The sequence below is a fragment of the Homo sapiens genome, chromosome 4, assembly GCF_000001405.40.
Source record: "Homo sapiens chromosome 4, GRCh38.p14 Primary Assembly".
Taxonomy (NCBI): domain Eukaryota; kingdom Metazoa; phylum Chordata; class Mammalia; order Primates; family Hominidae; genus Homo; species Homo sapiens.
The window spans coordinates 45,315,631-45,338,051 of record NC_000004.12 but is presented as its reverse complement, the minus strand read 5'-3'; the positions used below and the strand labels follow the sequence as shown (position 1 = coordinate 45,338,051).

At 34.6% G+C, this 22,421-nt stretch overlaps 1 pseudogene; it reads left to right on the top strand.

The window, feature by feature from the left end:
• Positions 13,301-14,307, top strand: THAP12P9 (THAP domain containing 12 pseudogene 9; annotated as a pseudogene).

Genomic DNA, 22,421 nt, shown 5'->3' with positions numbered 1-22,421 from the left:
AACAAATGTCTTGCTATTTTTTTTTATTTTGGTGCAAAATATAGCTTAATTGAGTTGCTTTCTGAACACTTAACCCATAAGGTGTGTGATTACTATAATCAGTAGTGCTTACAGAGATTCATGAGCACAGCAAAGAGAGAAATAGGTTTTGAACAATGGGTGCACAAAATGAATGCTTCACGAAGAATCCATGCCTTGTAAAACATTGGCTGCTTCCTGCCCTATCTCTAACCTTGAAAAAGTCAAAGCAGGTGCTGTTAATCTTCTGCCAAATCCTACTTTCCTTCCTCTGGCTCTTGCTGGATGAAATGAGAGAACATGGAGGGTAGAGGCAGTCTCCATGCATCAAGAGCTAGCGATGTTAAGAAATAGAATGAAAACAAAGGCATACCACTGCCCAGTACTCTGCTTTGCTAGTAAAATGTAGTGAATGTAATGGTCCATTACCTGCCAAATAAAATTATTCCCAAATGGAGCTACGTGTCATTTATATGGGAAATTATGTAATAAAATAAGTGCTCAAGCAATAAGAGTAATCAGCTGGAGAATTACGTTCAAAACCTATCAAAGGAGAGATAAAATATGGACATAAAACAAGTGGGAAAAATCAGCACAAAATATTTATTTGTCACTAATGGTTTGGGATATTCTGATCACTTTTGGCTACATATTCTGCTTGTACCTTTACAGAGATAGAATGAATCATACCAAATATTGTGACCTTTTTACATTGTGGGTTTACTATTCAATCATCTTTAGAATATTATGAACCATTACATTCAAATAAAATATTCATGAACATTCAAAGTAAAAATCAGAGTCAGCATTCTGAATAGTAACTATATTCCCAGATGTGACAATATATCTTCTGTGATATAGTCAAATAAGGAGAAATAATTTTGCTCACATATCTCCATGCATGATTTTCTGGCACACAGAATCTTGAGAAATTCAAAATCTAAGTCATATGGACTTGACTGGATTCTTTGTTAAAACCTCCTGGAGTTTTCTTTTACTTAGAGATTATTAGCTTATGGTCATTTCAGGTGCAGGATAAGACTTCTCTCAACCATATTCTATTGGTCTACCATGTAAAATATTATCACAAATATTTCAAGACAATTAAGACAATTAGTGGAGAAAACTATGAAAGTGTAATCAGTCTCTGCATGCTTTTATTAATAAAGTGAAACCCAACTTTGGTAGAAAATCAAAATTGTGATATTTTTACAGATTTAGTGAAAGTACATAATAATGTTTTGTTTTGTAAGTGAAAAGCTTTCATCTGGAACACATTAAAGAATAGTCCAGAAACTGAACCATTACCATTTACTAAAGTAAATGTAGAGTTTCAAAGATTTTCACCAAAGAAAGAGAAAAAAAATAGTGGAAATAATAAAATCAAATTTATTTAGAAAGTAAAAAAACAGAGATATGGAAAAAAGAACCACTGTATAAATGTGACTAAGAATACTGAAACAATAATATTATACTAAATGTGTACCAAGCCCTCTTGTAAACAATGCAAAACTCAAAGAGGAATAAAATCTGATTCTTTTTGTCAAAGAGCAAAAATAGAGTTAAATCCATGTATTTTCCACAAAACTCTATCTAACTGGGAAATATGTACATACATATGTAAGTTATAAGATGAAAACCATGCCATCTCTATTTTTGAATAGAAGAACCTAGAAGCATCACTTTTATGCCTATTTTCAAACAAGCTCAATAATGTAGAGAGGAAGTATCCTTCAACGCTGCCTTTCTTCTTTCTGCAGTCTTCTGGCATGTACTGAAATCAACAAAAGCTTCAATGGCAGAAGAACATCGACAGATACGTAGGTGACCTGAGAGGGACTGACACAAATAGAATAAGTATTGCACAATGAGAGTGGGAATTGCTGTCCTCGTGACAGGCTAGACAAATTGGAGGAGGTTTTGATGCATATTAGTACAAGATAGCTTTAAGTTGTATGTTGAATTTATGATTCTCAATAAGAGAGTGGGAGGCTAGATAGACATGTAATAGATTTGATTTGGGTAGAACTTAGTTCTAAATGCAATGCCACATCACTCTAGATTTATTATTATTTTTTTCCATTCTGAATTTCTAAACATATTGAATTTTTTTATTATCCAGATCAGTGGATGGTAGAATTGACATAGATGCAGAAATTTCAAGAAATGCAAATTTTCTTATATTTAGCTTTAGTGTGTGATTTTGTTTCAGCCCTAGCTAAACATTTCTTAATTGTATATATTTTAGGCAACATTCAAATTATTTGATTCTCACTGAAAATACATAAATCACCAAGAGTAGACATGAAGTCTCCTGAGAGGCAGGTGAAGTCAGTTGTTAATATGTTTAGGGTACTTTATATATTGATTTTTAGGGCGGAATAGAGAGCATTCGCTTTTACCACTAATATCATCACATACTCCATTTATATGCCAGGTGCAAAAATATTAATCACATCAACAATATTTTTCAAATTATACATTTTTAAAAGTTAAATCCTATATTGGCCTCTGTACCTGACCAGCCTGAACTCCCAGCAGAAAGTACAGATTGAACATCCTTAACGTGAAAGTCCATTCTGAATTGCTCTGAAATCTGAAACTTTTTGAGCATTGACATGACACCTCAAATGGAAAATTTCACCCTTGACCTCTTGTGATGGGCTGTAGTCAAAGTCCAGTCAAAACTTGGTTTCATGCATAAAATTATTAAAATATTGTATAAAATTTCCTTCAGGTTATGAGTATTTTTGAATTTAAAAATATATAAGAAATATAATTTTATATATATGAAAATATTCCAAAATGTGAAAACAATCTAAAGTCCCAATCACTCTAGTCCTAAGCTTTTCAGATAATAGATACTCAACCTGTAACTTAATAAGTTAAGCTACATCAATAACACAGGCTAGTATGAACCTATTAAAAATTGTATGTATGAGATAAATTATATGTGTGGAATAATAAGAAATATTTATTACTAAAGCATAAACTGAATAATAAAATGTAATATTCAAATATAGCTGCAACCATATAAAGATCTCTGTGGTATACATGAACAGGCATGAAAAGGAACTTAATAAATAAAATAAAGCTAAACCAATTAGCCAGCGTAGTGGCGGGAGCCTGTAATCCCAGCTACTGGGGATGCTGAGGCAGGAGAATGGCTTAAACCTGGGAGGCAGAGGTTGCAGTGAGCTGAGATTCTGCTGTTGCACTCCAGCCTGGGCAACAGAGGGAGACTCTGTCTCAAAAAATTATAATAATAAAAGCTAAACCACAGAATTATAGTCAATATATCAGCTTTTCATTAAATGTTTACCCCCTTTGTGATTTTTTTATATTCATAATAATGTCTTACATATTAAATTTCAATAATAGTAAACATTTACCCAGATATTAATGAACTAATATATGTGTCCTTATATCCACAAACTTTTATGTTGCATAACTTCAAAATATATTTAATTACACTTAAATATATTTATATAAGTACAGAAAATAGTATAATTGAGTAAAATCATAATTCAATTTTGATCAAAAGAAACATAAAGGTAATATGACTGATACAAAACTTATTCATTGACTATTCCTGTGTTCGATACAATATTCTAAAAGGGAGATTTGTTGGTTAAGTACAATCTCTTGGGTCTTTCTAAAATGAGTCAGAAGATGAAGACATATTTTTCTTTTGTGGCTATAAGGCATAACTAAAGATTCATTTATTCATTCCTTCATTCCTTCCTTTTATTTCTCTGTCCATTCATCCATTTATTATTCAATCCTTCATTCATTCAACAGATATTTGTGCATGAGAATTACATCCAAGGATAAACAGATTATCATATAAACAAACATTACTGGCATTTATTTAATCTATAAAACCAGTGAGGTACAAAAAAAAAAAAAGAGAAAAGAAAAAAAAAAAAACCCAAAAAGCTACCACATAATTACATTTCATTCTAAATAACATTATATTTGAAAGTATCAGGGGAACTCTTTATGTCCTGAGGAAAAGCATATCTAGAAATGTAAATAAAAATTCTTAATTTATCAACATAATATTCATATGTCACTTTTTAAAAAAATAAAAGGCATACTTGTTTTTTACTGTAAAAAGTGCCAGGAAAAGGAGCAACATACTTTAGAAATATTTTACCTGTAGCGGGTATATTATCACTAGCTTAGAGTTTTAACTCCAATTTGTTTCTTATAGTTCTGTAGGTCAGAAGTCTCACAGGGTTCTCACTGGGCTAAAGTCAGAGTCAGAGGTTTGCGTTCCTTTCTGAAGTTATCAAGTGAGACTCCATTTCCTTGAGTTTTAGATTCTAGAGGCCTCCTACATTCTTTGGCCAGGGTCCCTTTCCTCTATCTTGAAAGCTAGCAATGTTGCCTCCCTCTGACCTTTTTTCTATTTCATACTTCCCTCTAACCACAGCTTGGAAAGGTTCTCTACTTTTAATAAGCCATGTGATTAAAGGTGGCCCACATAGATAATCCAGGCTATGCTCCTTTTCTCAAGGTCAGTAAACTTAATCAGATCTTCAAGTCCTTTCTTCCTGCCTAACGTAATATATTTACAGCTTGCAAGGATTAGGGTGTAGACCTCTTTGAGGGAGGACATATTCTGCCTCCCACAAGGACAATACTGAAGAATTGGAATGATGGCTTGGTATTTGCAAAAATAGTAATGTTCATCTTGATCTGAATATGTTCCTGACCACCAGAGAAGAGGCTCAAGGAGGAATAGAAGACTTCTTTTCACTCATGAGACTGGCTAATAGAGTCTACTGTATTTTAACAAACATCTGTTTTTCCATAAGCCTTCAGATATAGTAGCCATCAATTCCTACTTGTTTATTTTCAAAATGATCCTCTATCTCATGAGTGTGGTTATGAATACAAATCAACTTTATCTGTAAAAGTTAACATTTTGTTAAATTAATGTCTGCCTGAGGAAAAATCTTTCCCTCAAAATCTGGTAAAAGAGAAGTTATTTCTTTATATTGAAAGCTTTAATTTTAAAAAGTAATAAATATTCCTTAATTTTAAAATGTACTGAATTCTCTATATGAATTGGAAAGGCACTAGCAATTATTTCCCTCTACAGATTACTTTGGAAGTGCTGTGTGTGTGCCATGTATTCCAGCAGCCCCTCTTATCTGTTTCGTAAGGAGGGCATGCTGCAACTCTGGTCTGCCACGTTTGGATGTGCAAATTACGTATTACCCCCCTCCCCAGGGATTCCATTTATACAGACTTCATAAATTAGTGTATTTAGTTGCCATAATATTGGTCAAATTAACAAAAAAGTATTTGGAGTGATATTATACTACAACAATTTTTTTCACAGAAAAAGAGAAGACTCCTTTTTAGACTTCGTCAAAATTCAAAAGTAGATGATGATGTGACTTCATAATCTGGGAGTGGTATCAGAAAACAAATATGCTGGTATCTAAAGAGTTACAGTAAAAATAAATGGCTTAGACAACTCTTCTGAAACCAATGATGTTTCAACTAATTGTTTACCATAGATCTGTTTGTTTAGCTTTGCCTACTGTTTTTCCTTCAGGCTTCTCTCTCTTTTCTATTTACAGGAATTATCGTCCTGAACTCTTTGGCACTTCTTCTTTCTCCACTCCACCCAGCAGGAAAAAATACTGCTCTGTTTTCAGATGGGGATAATTGATTAAAAATCCTGAATCCTCTTCACTGTGACTAGGAGCAGATGAGAAAGAAAGGAAAGCAGAGACAGAGGAGGGGAGAAAGAGAAATCCAACCTTTCTATTTGGTTGGATTTTACATTTTCCAATTTGAGGGGGTTGGAAGGAATGGGGGGAAAGAGAGAAAGTAAGCCCATTTTAGCCCTTGGAGTACTTGTGACTTTCAACCTAGTGTGATGGTTAATAATAAGTGTCAACGTGATTGGATTGAAGGATGCAAAGTATTGTTTCTGGGTGTGCCTGTGAGGGTGTTGTCAAAGGAGATTAACATTTGAATCAGGGGACTGTGAGAGGCAAACACACTCTTAATCTGTGTGGGCACCATCGCCTCAGCTGCAGCACAGGCAGAAGAAAGTGGAACGGGCTGACTTGCGGAGTCTTCCGGCCTTCATCTTTCTCCTTTGCTGAATGCTTCCTGCCCTTGAACATCAGACCCCAGATTCTTTGGCCTTTGGACTCATGGACTTAAGTGGTTTGCCTAGGGCTATTTGTCCTTCAGCCACAGACTGAAGGCTGCACTGTCAGTTTCCCTACTTTTGAGATTTTGGGGCTGGGACTGATCCACTACTGACTTCCTTTCTCCTCAACTTGCAGACGGCCTATTGTGGGACTTTACCTTGTGACCACGTGAGTCAGTTCCCTTTAATAAACTCTCTTTCATATATACATATATCCTATTAGTTCTGTTCCGCTAGAGAACCCTGACTAAATCACCTAGCTTTTATATGTAATCACAAAATCACCATCATTTCTCCTAATTTAGCTCTTGCTTTTGGCTACTGGCTGAGAATACCCTCAGATTTTCCATTAACAACCTAGCTCTCTAAATGTTCAGCCAGGCTGGGCGCGGTGGTTCACGCCTATAATCCCAGCACTTTGGGAGGTGGGTGCGGGTGGATCACTTGAGGTCAGGAGGTCAAGACCAGCCTGGCCAACATGGTGAAACCCCGTCTCTAGTAAAAATACAAAAATTAGCCGGATGTGGTGGCGCATGCCTGTAATCCCAGCTACTCAGAAGGCTGAGGCAGGAGAATCACTTGAATCGCAGAGGCGGAGGCTTCAGTGAGCTGAAATCGTGCCACTGTACTCCCTTCTGGGTGAAAGAGCAAGACTCCATCTCAAAATAAATAAATAAGTAAATGTTCATCCAGTTTCTCTGCTTTTCCTCCACTTACTTTAGGTGACATATGCATGCTTTTATATATCCTCCCATTTATGCAGGAAATTCTATATTGTCTCAGTATCATTACTACAGCAATTCTCTCTGACTTACCCTATATGACAAGCTTTCATACTTGACTGTATCAGTTCCATCATTTGCAGGTATTTGTACCCTCTTGAAATAAACATGCTCCTGATTAATAAATGTTCTTGTCGCTCCATTCTCCACTTTTGCCAACCAACTACTGCCCCATTTCTGCATTCACCTCTGCAGCAAACTTCCTCAGATGAATATACTCACATTTCCAATGCTTCTCTTTTGTTTCTCATAAGTGTACTCCAATTAGGCTTTCTACTAAAGCCTACTCTACTAAAATTGGTCTTATCAATGGCTCTGATGATCTCACATTGCAAAATCAAAAGGATAGCTCTTAGTCCTCATGCTAAAAAAATCTACCAGCCATGTTTGAAACTATTGATCACTCTCTCCTCTTTTTTATATTTGTTTATTTGACAAGTAAAAATTATAATAAAAATTATTTACATTTATGGTGTCAACATCCTGTTTTGATGTATGTATATGTTACAGGATGACTAAATCAGGCTAACTAACATATTTATTAACTCACATACCATATCATTGGAAGCAGAAAGTAGAATGGTGGTTACGAGGGGATAAGGGGGATTGTGTTGATTGGGAAGATGTTGATCAAAGAATGCAAAATTTCAGTTAGGCAGGGCAAATTGGTCCAGGAGATCTGGTGTAGAAATACAATATGGTGACTATAATTAATGATGTATTATACACTTGAAAATTGCTAAGAGAGTAGATTTTAAGTGTTCCCACCACTCCCTTCTCTTTAATATACTTTCTTAACTTGGCTTTCAGAATACCATGGCTTTCTTCCTACCCTACCCATGGGTCTTTCCCAGTCCCTTTGATTTTTATTCTTTTCTCTTCAACCTTTTTATTTTGTATAACCTTGATCCTCTTGCTTTGAATATAATTTATTGAAGATACCATTTAGTTATATGCTTTTTAATACAAATACCTGGTGATAATTCCAAAATTAATATCCCAGCTAGATATCTTTTCTGAATCTAGTCTCTTGCTTATCCTGCTCAAAAGTGTCTCTTGATGGTTAAAATTTGAAAGCTATCATCAATAAAAGTGAATTCATGATGTCTTCCTTAAAACTTGGAGTCCCTATCACTTGACAATCTTAGAAATGCCACTCCACTCTTCTGTTTTCTCAGGAAAAAGAATTTGGGATCACCTTTCATTCTTCATACCCAAACAAATAATCAATTGTGCTGGATTTGTTAAAAAACATGCATGTATCACAATTTTCTGTAAGCTGATGTTAGATAAGTCAAATTCAAATGGCTTTTTTAATTGTGGCAAGAGGGCAGAAAACATGACTATTTGGTTCACCACTGTGCAAATAGTACCTGAAATGAATGTTCTGGATACAGAACCCAAAAGCAATGAGAAAAAAAAGGGAAATACTTACTCTAGGGTGAGGGAGTAAAGTCAAACCTAAGACTTAATGATCAGTAAAAGAGAACTTTTTCCCAAATGTATCTGTCATATTCACAAATTATCATTAAATATTTTAGAACAATTTTTGTAACCAAAAGTTCCTAGATATCATGCTTGTTTTTATTAAGTCAGATTTTAAAAATGTGTAATTCAATTTAACCTAATTTTCATTCTATAGTAGGCCTTACCCTAGCATCTTGCACAATGTTTAGGGATCAGAGCATGAAAAGAGTTGCATGTACTTTTTTCTTCTGCTAGGACATTTTTAGAGTACCCCTAATGCAGTGTTAAAACTTTTTCTTATACTTTTTGTCATTTTATTGGAAGGAAACCACCATGGATATTACTTTGACCACTGTTAAAGAAATAATTATTCTGACACTAAAATTATCAGGGAGACTTTATTCAGGATTACTGCAATAAGTGTCAAGACTATTGCAGTAAGGAAGAAAGGTTAGTTCAACTTGAATAAATAAAGCAAAGATAGCTAAGGATTCATAGCAAATGAGCAGAAGGGAGGAGTCAGTGAATGGGAAATTACTAAGAGAAGATATCAAGGTAGGGGAATTCTTGCTAAACAGACTTAACAGGATTCTTGATATTAACAGGATTCTTCACCTACAGCAACTTGTAGACAGAAAATCTGCCCAATTCCCGTTTTCTCTCCCCTCCCATGTTGATTCAATTTTTAAGTGTGGTTTCTCTATCAAACCCCTCACTGAACACAGACCAAAGATGATCAAATACCAAGAGTGGGGATGAGGAATTTAATGAGATATTGAGTATAATCAGATATAAAGGATGGGGGGATTCTTTCCAAACTGGCTTACAGGAGATTCTTGCTAAAACTGGGCTAGTCGGCCCACAGACAATGTATAATGACAAGACCTAGTTGAAAACAGGGATCAGACCAGCCTGTCTAAATTTGATCAAGGAGAAAGTCTTTGTCAGCACCACCATTTATCAAAGATTTTAGGGCTTCTTGATGTCCTACTGCTTTTATTGTTTCATAACATTATGATTGACCAAAATTATCCGAAGAGTGTGGTGCCAATAGCAGTTCTATACCCAAACCACTGTGTGATACACTACTTCTATCTTCCAACCTGAACATATCTCTCCAGGTAAAACATCCATGAGAGTTTCCAAACTCATTCCTTCATCTATTTGTTTTGCTATCTCTAGTTATATCCCTGAAATTCACTTTGCAGTGTTACTCTTTGTTATCTCTTTGATGACTCCATACTTCAGTTTCTACCTTGTACTTTTCTAAGAGGCTAGATTTTATACCCCAATATCACATGGAAATGTGTTTATGTCATGTGTTCTCAGTAGGAAGATACTTCATAAAGTCTATCTTATTTTAGTTCCAAGGCCTCTCACGTGTCTCAGAAGAGTATCTCGACCAAACTGTTAGAGTCACATGATATTTTATTTCATTTAACTTAAAAGTGTTATTAATTATAGTAATATTTTTTAATTCTTTGAATATCAATTGATTATTTTTTGTTTTATTTACTTTGTAGAAATCTTCTGTTTAATTGACTGTTCAATATAACATGTTTATCAATTTTTAAAGTTAATTATAAAAATAGTGGGTTTTTTTGTCCCTGATAGTGTGATGTCATAAATTTCTCTCTTGTCCTCCCAAGTTATAATTCTGAAGTATTTTACCAGCAATCTCAATGCCACTCTGGTTTTTTTAAAAAAACTGTACTGGAAGAGGAAGCAAATTTTGAATCTAATAAGTCAAGCCTGTTGTGCAATCTGGATATTTTTTTTTTTCTAATGGTTCATTCTTCAATGTTCCTATAGCAACTTGTGGACAGAAAATCTGTGCCCAGCTCCCATGTTCTCTCCACTCCCATGTTGATTCAATCTTTAAGTGTGCTTTCTCTATCAAACTCCTCACTGAACACTCAGTTCTTATAAAGACCAAAAGTATTTTCTGAACCATAAATCATATGTTGAAGACCTTGACACTTACTCCAGTTTCTTCTGGATTCTTCTTCCTACACAATAAAATCTTGTTAATATTCTAAATTAATTTTCTCTGGTTCTTGCAATATTATGGAATACATAATGGATCACAGTGTTACTGCTCACCAGGCTATGCTTCCCTTAGCCTATAACACACTGTTATGTAAGGAACTACATCATCTATCAAATGTAATTTTCTTGAAGACAGGGTACTCTTGTATAACAAAACTCAGCAGAGAAGAAATAGAAAACCTAAATATTCCTACAAATATTTTTTAAATGGAATCCATATTTTAAAACCTTGAAAAGAGAAAACTTAAGACCCAGATATTTTCACTGGCAAATTCTACTGAACATTAAAAGAAGAAATAACACCAATTCTATACATCCCTTCCAGAAAATAGAAAAGGAGTGTTATGGTTAATTTTATGTGCCACTTGACAGGGCTAAGGAATGCCCAAGATAGCAGCTAGAACATTATTTCTGGTGTGTCTGTGAGGGTACATCCAGCAGAGATTAGCATTTAAATCAGTAACTGTGTAAAGAAAATCATTCTCACCAATGTGGGTGGACATTATCCAACCCATTGTGGGCCCAAATAGAACCAAAATGAAAAGAATGAGCAAATTTTCTCTCTCTTCTTAAGCTGAGACGTCCATCTTCTTCTTCTGCCCTTAGATATCAATGCTCCTAGTTCTCTGGCCTTCAGACTCAGACCAGGAATTGCACCATCACCTCCCAACACCCACCCCACAGGCTTTAGGACTTGGACTGAATTATGCCACCATCTTTCATGGTTCTCCAGCTTGCAGATGGCAGATCATGCAGATCATGGGACTTCTCAGTCTCCATAATCATGTGATCCAATTTCTATAAAATATACACACATACATATATCACATATATCTTCTCAGTTCTGTTTCTTTGGAGAATCCAGACTAGAGAAAGAAGGGAATATTTACTTGTACTAAAATGTGAGACAGCCAGTAAAAGAAAAGACCAATATTTATTTTGAAGATAGATGCAAAAATCTACAATGAATTATTTTCAAATTAAATATATCAACATATAAAAAGAATACTACATCAAACATAACCTAGTGATATTTATTCCAGAAATACAAAGTTGGGTCAACATTCAAAATTCAATCTATAGCTCATCATATTAACAAAATAAAGAAGATATACAGCTGGGTATGGTGGCTCACTCCTGTAATCCCAGCACTTTGGGAGGCCGACACCTGCGGATGACTTGAAGCTAGGAGTTGGAGACCAGCCTGCCCAACATGGCGGAACGCTGTCTCTACTAAAAATACAAAAATTATCCAGTTGTGGTGGTCCCAGATATAGTCCTAGCTACTCGAGGGTTTGAGGTGGGAAAATCACTTGAACCCAGGAGGTGGAGGCTGCAGTGAGCTGAGATCACGGCACTGCACTCCAGCCTGGGTGACAGAGTGAGACTCCATCCCAAAAAAAAAAAAAAAAAAGGTCTGTTAAAATACAACAACACATTCTCCTCTCCTGGGCCCCTGTGTCCAGCAGGCTGCCCTGAGAAGGCAAGGAAAAGAAGGCTGAGCACAATAGAAGGTAGGTGAGGTCTGCACTGCCACCAATTGTACTGCAAAAGAGCATACAGTTTGACCTGGCTTTTTCCAGTTTCCCACCGGATCCAGCCAGATGCCAGAAACAGGTAAATTGTAAGAGAGTGGACAGAAGAGAAAACATCTGATCAACTAATAAAACATTGTCAAGTATGTGCCAACTACTTTGAGACCTCTTATGATCTATAGAACTAGTGCTTATAGGATAGTTATTTAAGATAATGTAATACCAACAATAGTTGATCTTAGTCATTTAAACAATCTAAATGACAGGGAAAATGAATAAAAGAATTGAGTGAAGATGAAATCAGAACACATAAAGCAGAAAATGTTCACAACATTGAAGAGGAAAATGCACACACACATATACACACACACACACATGCGCACACACACACACACACACACACACACACACAGAAACCAGTAACAGCAATGCTCAGAACCCCAGTGCAGAGAAGGGGATGAAGAACAGATTAGAACATTTTACCTCTAATCTTTGACAAGAAGGAAAACAAAAAAATACATAAAGTCTCTATTTGAAGTTTTGATTCTCATGGGAAAGCTAAACATAAAGTCTTTATTTGAAATTTTGATTCTTAAGGGAAAGCTAAACATTCCTTCTGGGGTGACGAAACCCCAGAAGGTAATTTTACTCCTGATGACTGTCAAGCACTGCTGGAGTGCCAGATAAATTCTGGTGAAGAGGTCCGAAGACAGCACTCTGAGACAACAGTGGCTAACACAACACACTGTTCTGTTTGGAAACACAGTAGAATCATATGCTAGAGATCTGTGAGAGCTGTATTAGGGAAGAAACTCTAAGAGAAGTGAGAATTTCACACTTCCTTGTCATTATCACTCTTTGTCAGTTTGTGTTGCTATAAAGGAATACTTGAGGCTGGGTAACTTATAAAGAAAAGAGGATTATTTGGCCTATGGTTCTGCAGGCTGTACAAGAAGCATGGCACCACCATCTGTGTCTGGCGAGGGACTCAGCCTGTTTCCACTCAGGATGGAAGGAAAAGGGGAGCTGGTGCATGCAGAGATAACATGACTGGAAAAAGAGAGGGGAGGGAGGTCCCAGGTTCCTTTCAACAAGAAGCTGTTGTAGAAACTAAGACAGCAAGAACTCACACATTACACAAGGACGGCACTACATGATTCATGAGAGATTTACCCCATGACCCCAACACCCCCTGTTGGTCCCCACCTTTAACATAGGGCATCACATTTTAACATGACATTTGGAGGGTCAAATATCCAAACACAGCCATCACTGACAATGTAGTGGACATATCAGGGGAAGAGTGCCCACTTGTGTTGGAGAGGTTTGTTTATGAATCGCATAACCTGAGAGAGGAATCTGTGGGCTTCCTGCCTTATGAAGCTGAAGCAGAAATTTTGGCTGTGAAATTTCACACTACCATAACTGAGAAATGGGGACTAAATATGGAGTATTATTGTCATGGCCAAGTTTACATTGTGTACAATGGATTCTCTTCCAAAATGAAAGTTGTTTCTCCTAGACTTTTAGAAAAATATCCTCAAGGTATCTACCCGCCCTGCCTTTCCTGTGCCTTAAATATGTGATTGACAAAATCAATGCCTATTATGGGTTTATCTGTTGCATTAGGAACAACTGCAGAAGTTTCTTCATTTTTTCCATCAATCACAACTGCTTTTAGGAGTTGACAGTGTCATTTCTGCTCTTTTTCAAAACAGTGGAGAAAAGGGTAAATTACTAAAGGAAATCTGGTATTCCCATTGAACAGGCAGGCATGATGCTTTTGAAATTTTAGTGGACCTCATGCTAGCACTTCTTTATGTTTAAATGATATAAATGATGATGCAATATTAGATGAGATGACTGAGTATCCAGCCAAGAATTTGTCCTCTGTAGTGCAGCAACAGATTTTGATTTCGTTGTTACCATTGTTATTAAAAAAAGTCCTTTACATGAACCCTTTGAAGAAATCTCCAGGGTCACACCTCTGATATCGTCTTTGTAGGCAGTAGTTTGACTGCAGTACTACATTCGTTCAATGAAGTGATGGAAGATATTGAAGTCTATCATTATTTTTAGTTTGAGGAAGCCACAGATTTGGTAACCAAACTTGATAGTCAAATAAAACTCCCTGGGAAATTCCATAGAGCTTAGCAAGGTAACATGGCACCTCAACTGACCTCTGAGAGTTTTTATAAAGAAACCCTAAGTGTTCCAACTGTGGAGCACATTTTTCAGAAACTGAAAGATATATTCTCAGAAGAGTACCTCAAAGATATGTTCTCAGAACAGTACCTCAGAACTATGATATGCTTATTTCTGGTACCTTCAGTCATAGGACAGCTTAAATTCAGTACATCTGAGGAACACCATGCTGACAAGTACAGAAGTCACTTACTCAGTCCAGACATGTTCTCAGCTGAGCTTCCTTGTTGAAGAGTCATATGGAAACACAGAGTAAAGATATAGGACTTCTGTCCCCCATGTATGAAGCATTCCACCTGCCTGACATCTTTTTTTCCTAATATATATGGATCTTTAAAGGACCTGTGTATTCTTTCTGTGACGAAGATTGAGAATAAGTGCTATGAAAATCTATGAAAGTGTCTGAAAGCATACTTAAACACTTTGATGGAACAAAGGTTGAGTAACTCAGCTTTACTTAACAAAACTTTTGATATAAAACACACCAGACTTAATTGGGAGTACATATATCAAACTCTATACAACTAACAGCTTCCTGTGGATAATTCAGAAGCCAGTGAAAATGCCTAAGAGACTTTTAAAATATGTCTTCTTTTATATTTGATGTTTGGAAGAAAAGCTGTAAGGCATATCTTTGCCTATAGGCTTTCCATTGAGTACCTTAGCCATTAATGATCTATGTATTTAAAAGGCCCTTGTTTTAACTCTCATGCTTTGAAGACCAATCTGTTCTTCCAGAATATAGTATGGAAAGTGCTGTGTTTCACTTTCGTGTGATCCCTGCTAGCTTCACTCTGGAATTGTTTAGGTTAATCCATTTTAGACATAACATTTATTTCCACTGCACATCCAGTTATTGGGTATTGAATTATCAATTCTTTTAAGAAATAAATTTTGAGGAGTTGTGGCAAGACAAAATACATATCATAAAATATTACAGTGAAATCCACAATTGGCTTTTGACTAGTAGAAGTTTTAAATATGTTGTTCATAATCTATAATAAACAGTTAAAGAAATTACCAGAGAAAGACACTTACAAAGCTCACCAAACCAGGATTTCAGTGTGGATTTTGTCTTTATCAAATGAACTTTAAGGAACAAGTTTACAATTAAAGTTTAAATGGAAGAGTCCACCATTGCTAAGTTTTCAACATATGCTGGCTAAACAGCTTATGGAGATGTAGGCTCAACAAAGGAATGTAAACAGCAACAACAAGATGTGGGACAAAAATGGCAGACTCTTCCATTCAAACTCCAGTTGTAAACTTCTTGTTGCTATTTACATTCTTTTGTTGAGGCCATATCATAAACTTTTTAGTCAGTATATGTTGAAAATATAGGTTTCATGGTCAAGGCAGAATCAGAGGCCATGGATACGTATATCTGACGTGTCTGTTTTCTTCCATTTTTTTTGTCATAACTATATCTAATGCCTCATCTTGATTCATAAGCCAAACCTGGAAAACCTGTAAAAATAGGTGTTTTATGTTTTATCTGGAAAAAATACAGAAAATACTTCCGTATTAAAAAAATAAATAAATTTAGTACAGTTTATTTTAATCTAAATAAAATGTAAATTTTGTCAGAAAATTTGGCAAAATGAATAAAAGGTCTCTATAAAAATGAACAAATCCTAAAGCAAACATTGTATTTGTGATGAAAGATTGAATGCGTTCTAAGACTGGGAACAAGGCAAGGATGTCTACTGTCAATGATCCCATTAAGAAAAGTAAATAAAAGTCTAGCCAATTGAAAAAGAAGAAATACAATTTCCTTATTCACAATATCTTTAAAACTATAAAATATTAATGAAAAAATACCAAGGAAAACCTAAATAAGTGGAAATGTATCATGTTCACATATTGCAAAAGCATAACCACAATATCAATTTTCCTAATTTATAAAACTTATCTATATCTTCACTGCAATTCTAACCAAGTTTCAGAAAGCCTTATTGGAGGTATCAACAAGCTGATTCTAAAATTTATATTGAAAGTCAAATAAACTACAGTAACAAAAAGAATTCTGGAAAAAAAGGTAAAAGTTGGAGGATATACATTAACCAACTTTAGGAATAACTATAAAGGTACAGTAATCAAAATAATTTTCTCATAAAAAAATCTTAAATGCATAAATCCATGACTTTATATTACAGACATGGAGTCTTGGAATGTTTCCAAGACTGGCTTCAAACTCCTGGGCTCAACAATCCTCCTGCCTTAGTCTCCTGAAGAGCTGGGACTATAGGCATGTGCCACTTCACCTAGCTTTAGTCAACTGAGTTTTGTAAGTGGTGCAAAGGCAATTCAATAGAGAAAGCGTTTTTTTAATCAAATAGTATCAGAACAAATGGACATCCAAATTTAAAAAAAAAAAACCCTGATTCTCTCAACAAACCGCCAAAAGCACCAAACTTATCAAGTGGTATACATTAAATACATCCGGTTTTAATTATGTCAATCATACCTCAGTTACATAATTTGAAAAATCAAAAGACTAATAAAAAATGTTAAATAAAACTTGCATAAATGAGTCATAGATATGAAAGAAAAACTATAAAATTTTAGAGAAGAAGATCTTGGAGAAAAACTTTACAATCTTAGATTAGGCAAAAAAAAAAAAGCCTTAGACATGGCAACAAAAAATAGATATCTAAAAGAAAAATATTGATAACTGGACTTTATCACAATTAAAACTTTTGCTCAGTGAAAGACACTAGCAAGAGAATAAACAGACAATCTACAGACTGGGAGAAAATATTTGCCATTGCATATCTTATATCCAGAATATACAAAAACATTCTCAAAACTCACTATGAAGAACATAAACAAGTCAGTTAAAAAAATGGACAAGTCTTTAGCCGACACTTGACCAAAAATATGTAAATGGTAAGCACATGAAAAATGCAGATGGAAAATAAGTACATGAAAATATATTTAACATAATCCATTTGAAAAATGCAAATTAAAACTATAATGAGATACTACTACACAATTGTTAAAATAAATTTATAAAAGCTTACAATATCAAGTGCTTTCGAGGATGCAGAGCAACCGCAACTCTCATACATTGCTGGTGGGAAAGCAAAATTGTATAGCTGCACTGGAAGTTTGAGGATTTCTTGCAAAGTTACACATACACTTACCATACGGCCCAGCAATTCTACTTCTAAATAAAGAAGTTGTGTTGGTTAATATTAAGTGTCAACTTGATTTCATTGAAGGATGCAAAGTATCGTTCATGGGTGTGTCTGTGAAGGTGTTGTCAAAAGAGATTAACATTTGAGTCAGTGGACTGGGAGATGCAGACTCACCCTCAGTGTGGGTGGGCATCATACAATCAACTGCCAGCACCACTAGAATAAAGCAGGCAGAAGAAGAGGGGAGAAGCTGACTTGCTGAATCTTCTGGTCTTCGTCTTTCTCCCCGTGCTGGATGCTTCCTGCCCTCAAACATCAGACTCCAAGTTCTTTGGCTTTTGGACCCTTGGACTTACATCAGTGGCTCTCAGGCCTTCTGCCAAAGACTTAAGGCTGCACTGTCGTCTTCCCTGTTTTTGAGGTTTTGGGACTCAGACTGAGTCACTACTTGCTTCCTTGCTCCTCAACTTGTATATGGCCTGTTGTGTGAATTCACCTTGTTATCCTATGGGTCAAATCTCCTTAGTAAACTCCCTTTCATATATGCATATATTCTATTAGTTCTATCCCTCCAGAGAATCTGAATACATGTTCCAAAAATAGACTGTAAACAAGGTATCTACCATCTTTATTTGTAATCATCTTAAAACTGGAAACCATCAAAATGCCCTTTAATAGGTGAATGGATAAACAAACTGGTCCATTCATATAATGGAAGGCTACTCAAAAATGAAAAGCAATGGATGCTCAGAAATGAAAGTTTTGGATAATATATAACACATGAATGAATCTGAAAGGCATTATGCTGAGTGACTAAAGCCAGTATCAAAAAGTTATGTTCTGTGTAGTTCCATCTCAAATAACATTATAAAGAAGATTAAACTATAGGAACAGAGAAAATATATTGATAGTTACCAAAGATTAACTCAGAGGAGAGTGACTGACTACGAAATTACAGCAAGAAAGAATTTTTGGAGATGAGGGAACTATTCCCTATACTGACCATGTTGGTATTATTAAATCCAATCAATAAATCTAAAGAAACCCACAAAAAGACACACCAAAAATAAGATAATTTTACTGTATGCTAATAAAAAATGTATGTTCTACATACATGAGGACATTAAGATGCTCTGCTTGTTATATTCCTCAGTCAGTACATTTAGAAAGAGTAGCCACCATCTCTAAACATTTCCAGTTCCCATGTGAAGGCAGAGATTCAAAAAAACAGGAAAAAAAAAATGAACCATTATTTAATGCTTCAGCCGGAATGGTATACATGCCATTTCTGCTTATATGTTCTTAAGAAAAATCTCACATAGCCATATCTAGCTCTGACGTGTTGGGAAGTATAATACAACTTTGTCACTGCAAGAAAAGCTGGATAATTAACAGCATTAATCATGACTATGCTTGCTAATTAGTTTATAAAATCCTTAGTGGAAGGGCTAAAGGCAGATATTCTATTGCACTCTATTATTCCCCAAAATGTATTTCCTTTACTTTGCCTCTATTTCAAAATGGTAATGCAGATATATCTGGCCATTTGCCAGAATGCAAATATACATTAATACTATTTGTAAGCAGAATTGGTACTTTGGGATGAGAAGGAAATGTTTGGTCATGGCCCACAATGACATTAAAATAATCATTGGTCTGGGATAGGAACAATCTCAACCTAGCCATAAAATCTCCTCTTTTATTAACTAAAAATGAGTATTCCTACATTATCAGCTATAACACAGAACTACTGATATAATAAAAGTGAAAATAATTAGAAAAAATTAAATACTATTCAGTTATGGAGGTTAATCAATATTTTATATTATCACATAATTATAATGATAAAATCTTAAAATGAGTGGTGTTTGAAAAGTTATAAGTAATTTTATTTATATAAATTCATAATAATAGATACATTTTTTCTTTATAAGTAGAAAAAAATAGATTATTCAAAAAAAATTTTTGAAGATTTCAACTCCTAAGCCTGCCTAAAGTTTCCCTGATAGCCTTAAAGAAATACCTTTTCAACTGGATATAATAAAAATTAACTTTTTGATAATGCATATTCATTTTCCATTGATATTTACCAATTAGTTATTTTTGGCTTCAGAATAATAGTATTTAATATCTGTAATCTAAAAAAAAGTCAATCTCTTTTCCTCTTTCCTATTCTAATGTCTTGTGGTTTTATAAATAATTTCATAGTAAATGCAATTGAGAGATTACAAAGCGATGTGGGAGAAACACACATATCATGGAATTGCTTGTCCTTTAGAAGTAACAATTGAAAGAGATCACAAAAATTTATAAGAACTTTTTTTATAGAACTTAATTTTCTTGTTAAACCTCACATACAAATAAAACATTTTAAAAGTGATCTCCCTGTAGGCTTTGAACAAACTAGCATTACAGAAAATTTACAAAAGTCTTTCTTTGTATATACTAACACCATGTAATTGCACTGGACAACAAGGGGTGATGAGTTTTCTCAAGTACTATATAAAACCACTGACCAGAAACACAATAGCAAAACATAGCTTTGCATTAAATAATGTTTCTTTTATGTCTTTTTCTTTCTCTGCAAGATTTATTTATTAGAGTATGGCAGTATTTGCTTTATAAAATGTTGCTCTCCTGTTTCCAAAATAAAGCTTTAAATAAGATCCAATAGAAAATCAGTTGCTTGAATAAGAGTCCCAGACAATGTTTTGCTTTACTCTTGTTTATCTGCTGTCACCATGGTGTATACTACTAAAATAAGAATCATCCATCAACATGAAATAACCAACTAATATTAATAATGCCTGTCATATTGGTCAATTATGCTTTTTTTATTAAAGATCAAAATCACCCAGTTTAAAGATTATAGAAAGCATGCAATTCACAAGGAACAAATTCCAAATAAATCACTTAAAGACGTTTGTTCTGTATCATCGCTTGAAAATATTAGAGGCAAAAAACTCCTAAGTCCTTTAGGAAAAAGACCAGAAGAATGATTATGTGTGCTGGTTAATGAACAATTTTAATCCCTGTTCTTTGCTTTATGTTGAGCTACTTGGTTCTGCTAGTATCATCATGTTCCCCAGCAATAACACCAACTCTAGCAGCTGATTTCAAATCCTTACGTCTCTCTCACATTCTGACCCCTACCACCATTGGCGGAACATTATAGCTTACTCAGGCTAAGCTTTATGGCTATCAGCTCACATGACTCATAAACACTACTGATGAAATTCCAACAGTGAGCCAAGCACAGCAGAGCTCATAGCCTCAAAAGTCAAAAATAGTACCAGCCAAAACTTGCAGGAAATTGCTGCAATCAAGATTAGAAATAATGCTCTTTACCTATGAACTAAACTGATTGCACAGCATGTGCTTCATCTTAAAAATACAGATGAATTTTAAACATATCTCATAAACAGACATTTTGGTATTTTCATTCAAAGTACTCAACCACTTTCTATGTAGGCCTCCTCTATATGTTCCTATAAACTCTTGACAAAATATTTCATTAGATCTCAGCCTTACACCTACGAAATGTGGACAAATGATAATCCCTTAAATTCCTTCTAGCATTAATATTCTTTAAGTCTATGGCTTTTTATTGTTAAAGTTGTGGGGTGAGAATTCAGTCCAACCTCCAGTTATTCAAAGTATAGTAAGATAAAAGTATAACTAGATAAGTCCTTTATTTATCATGAACCATGAATTATATAAAATTGTATAGAAATTAGGAAAAAGATAAAAACTATAATGTAGATGATACAGTTTACTTACTTTTATTGCAATAAACTAAAGAAATTTTGATGAACAACTGGCACAGATCTATAACCATGGCCAGACAGAATGGCTTAAGACTAATAATTCTTTCCACCAATACCACCAAAAAATTATCATTTTGGGTAGCTTTCATTCAGTTTTTACCTAATTTAACAACAAAACAAACCTACTAATTAATGAGTCAAAGAATATACTTTATAACTGTTTCATCTTGAAGTTTTGACAAGATACCACATAGTTCAAATTTTGTGGACGTTCCTCCTTTACCGTCTTACTCCCCATCCCCTTCACCCTTCCACCTTTCCACCCTCCCACCTTTCCTCTCTCTCTCCATCTCTCTTTATTTCTTTAATTCACTATTAGAGATTAGAAATGACCAAATTCTCCATGAAGGTATTGAGCAATGTCTGTTTTACATAACAGTTTGCATTCAACTCTTGGCACACAAAATAGGTATTGAATACATATTTGCTGAGTGAGTGAAGAACCTACTACCTACTTCTCTGCCAGTATTTTTAAAAAGAAACAAACAAAAGCTTTAGACTGTTTATCAATATGGTTTCAACTCACCCCTATGTGGGAAAAAAATACATTTTTATTTAGGGGTATGTAATTATTGGGTCTTTCAAATTGCAGAAGTTCTTTTTATAAAGCCTATTTCTAACTCAGCTTATTATTAAAGAACTTTTTTTCATTTAAATAAAACATTGAACATTTGTACCCTACATCTTGCCAAATGTAGGATTTCACTAATGCTCAACAATTACAAAAATTCAGGTATAAACCTCAATGTTTATAAAATGCCATCTAAATATACGTTGTGATCTTGCCTTTTATCAAAGGACAAAAGCTCGGATTGTGGGTTGAGTTTGACCAACAGATATTTTGTTTGTTTTAAATTACACATTGTTTTAATTTTTTTAAGCTAACATTCAAAAATTGGGAAAGTTTACATAAATTCCTTTTTTGTGTGTCATTATAAAATTTGACATTGGACCCTCATTTTCATATTAGGAACTATTATCCAACTTAGGCGATTATAGTTCCTTCCTTAGGTAGGTAAAAATAAGACAGGGAGAGGGAGAGAGAGAGAGAGAGGGATGGAAGGAGGAAGAAAAAAACAAGAACCCTTTCAATAAGCTATACTTTTCTAAACTGTGAATTTCTTCTATATTAGTAGCTATACTAGCCTTCTTTCTTAGTTATCTGTATTTGTATTTTCTCCTTACAAATAAAATCACCTAAAATAGCTAGTGATTTA